Genomic DNA, 3,146 nt, shown 5'->3' on the forward strand with positions numbered 1-3,146 from the left:
GTTACAGAAATAAAACCTATCTTCTCTCCCAGTTCATCCACATCTCATTATTGGGCCGTGAGAATAAGCAGGCTGAGATTCGGTTTGGTCTGGGAACAAGAGAAGTGACATTATCCTACCATAATCAGTTCTTTTTCCCTCTTTTCCTCTGTCAGGACATAGTATCAATAACAGAGAAGACAGTAAGACACTCACCACCTCATTAGCAAGAACGTTAATCCCCACCGCTCCCCTCCCTCACCTCCCAAAACCACTGGGAGGGCACTGCTGGGGTACACGTGGCCACGTCAGGAAACTGGAAGAAAGGAAGGCAGGGCTGGGCGCAGGGGCTCACGCCTGTAAGCCCAGCACTTTGGGAGGACGAAGCGGGTGGATCACCTGAGGTCGAGAGTTTGAGACCAGCCTGACCAACACGGAGAAACCCTGTCTCTACTAAAAATACAAAATTAGCCAGGCACAGTGGTGCACACCTGTAATCCCAGCTACTCAGGAGGCTGAGGCAGGAGAATCGCTTGAACCTGGCAGGCGGAGGTTGCAGTGAGCCAAGATCGTGCCACTGCAGTCCAGCCTGGGCAACAGAGCAAGGCTCTGTCTCAAAAAAAAAAAGAAAAAATTCTTACAGAGAAGAGGGTCTCGCGATGTTGGCCAGGCTGGTCTCGAACCCCTGGGCTGAGGCAATCCTCCTGGGTTGGCATCCCACAGTGCTGGGATTACAGGCCTGAGCCACTGCGCTCGGCCATCTATGGCTTTTTATCCCCACTATAAGACAAGGAAGAGGCATAGCTCAGGAGTGAGCTGAGTCGACACCAGGTGGCGCCCAGGTCCCGAGCCTGCTCTGTCCGCAATGCAGCCTTCATCCCCCGACCTGCACGTCCCCTCTCATCCCAGAGCACACCCTCCGGGGCCATCATCCCCCCACCCGCAGGGCTCACCCTCCAAAGGACCCCAGGGCCTGCGTGGTGGTCCGTGGACTCACTTACCAACCCTCCTTCTGCTCGGCCTCCTGAAGCCCTTGGATGGCTCGGAGGGCACGGGGACCAGGTACTAAAGGATAATGATGGCTACACACATGTCCCTAAGCTCACTACCTGGGGACGCCCTCATTCTGTCTCTCAGTCTATTAACAGGGGAGATGGAGCCCAGGAGCCCAGGAGACAGCTACACACACACACACACAAGCACACACACGTCCCTGAGTTCACCACCTGGGGATGCTCTCATTCCGTCTCTCAGTATATTAACGGCAGACAGAGCCCAGGAGATTGACGGCTACACACACACACACACGTGTCCCTGAGCTCACCACCTGGGGATGCACTCATTCCATCTCTATTAACAGGGCAGACAGAGCCCAGGAGATTGGTGGCCACACACACACACACACACACACACACACACACACACACACGTCCCTGAGTTCACCACCTGGGGACGCCCTCATTCTGTCTCTCAGTCTATTAACAGGGGAGATGGAGCCCAGGAGCCCAGGAGACAGCTACACACACACACACACAAGCACACACACGTCCCTGAGTTCACCACCTGGGGATGCTCTCATTCCGTCTCTCAGTATATTAACGGCAGACAGAGCCCAGGAGATTGACGGCTACACACACACACACACGTGTCCCTGAGCTCACCACCTGGGGATGCACTCATTCCATCTCTATTAACAGGGCAGACAGAGCCCAGGAGATTGGTGGCCACACACACACACACACACACACACACACACACACGTCCCTGAGCTCACCACCTGGGGATGCCTTCATTGTGTCTCTCAGTCTATTAACAGGGAAGACGGAGCCCGGGAGACTGACGGCTACACACATGCACACACAGACACACACACACACGTCTCTGAGTTCACCACCTGGGGACGCTCTCATTCCATCTCTCAGTCTATTAACAGGGCAGACGGAGCCCAGGATTGATGGCTACACACACACACACACACACACACACACACACACCTTCCTGAGCTCACCACCTGGGGATGCTCTCATTCCATCTCTCAGTCTGTTAACAGGGCAGACAGAGCCCAGGATTGATGGCTACACTCACACACACACGTTCCTGAGCTCACCACCTGGAGACGTCCAGCACTCCTCCCACAGCATCTTCGAAGCTCTCATTCTGTCTCTCAGTCTATTAACAGGGGACACAGAGCCCAGGAGAGGTCTCTGTCCCGCGCTGTCCTGGCAAATCTGGGTCCCGATTCTGAGTTCAATGGTGTTAAAAAATAATAGGCTATGTCCCCACTAAAGTCTAAATATAGCCAACCCCATTTACCCAGGCTGTGCACATCACAATTCCACTTGTAGAGGCTCCTACCACCATCTTAGGTCCATCCCCAGAAGGTCCATCCCACCCCCACCCCGCCCCCGTCAAGGTCTCACTCTGTCACCCATGCTGGAGTGCAGTGGTGCAATCTCAGCTCACTGCAACCTCCACCTCCCAGGTTCAAGCGATTCTCCTACCTCAGCCTCTGCAGTAGCTAGGACTACAGGTGTGTGCCACCACACCCAGCTAATTTTTGCATATTTAGTAGAGTCGGTGTTTCTCCATGTTGGCCAGGCTGGTTTCGAACTCCTGACCTCAGGTGATCCACCCACCTCAGCCTCCCAAAGTGCTGGAATTACAGGCGTGAGCCACCGTGCCTGACCTCAGACACCTTTTGGTGCTTCTGGTTTGAGATGGGGTCTCACTCTGTCACCCAGGCTGGACCGCAGTGCTGCAATCTAAGCTTACTGCAGCCTCCACCTCCTGGGCTCAGGTGATCCTTCCACCTCAGCCTCCAAAGTAGCTGGGACCACAGGCCCCCACCACCACGCCCGGCTAACTTTTCTTTCTTCTTTTTTTTTTTTTTTTTTTGTAGATACAGGTTCTTACACCATGTTGCCCATGCTGGTGTCAAACTCCTGGGCTCCAGCAATCCTCCCACCTCAGCCTCCCAAGTAGCTGGGACCACAGGCACCCACCACCACGCTGGACTAATTTTTCTTTTTTTATCTTTTTCTTTTCTTTTTTTGTAGATATGGGGTCTTACCATGTTGCCCATGCTAGTGTCAAACTCCTGGGCTCAAGCAATCCTCCCACCTCAGCGTCCTGAGTAGCTGGGACCACAGGCACCCACCACCATGCCC

At 54.2% G+C, this 3,146-nt stretch overlaps 1 non-coding gene across 1 annotated transcript; it reads right to left on the reverse strand.

The window, feature by feature from the left end:
- Positions 1-2,789: 2,789 nt before the first annotated feature.
- On the reverse strand, positions 2,790-2,841 carry MIR1268A (microRNA 1268a). Its single transcript, NR_031672.1, has one exon. It is a non-coding gene; the product is annotated as a microRNA 1268a (primary transcript).
- Between the last annotated feature and the right edge of the window lie 305 nt (positions 2,842-3,146).

Source organism: Homo sapiens, chromosome 15 (genome assembly GCF_000001405.40).
Source record: "Homo sapiens chromosome 15, GRCh38.p14 Primary Assembly".
NCBI lineage: Eukaryota > Metazoa > Chordata > Mammalia > Primates > Hominidae > Homo > Homo sapiens.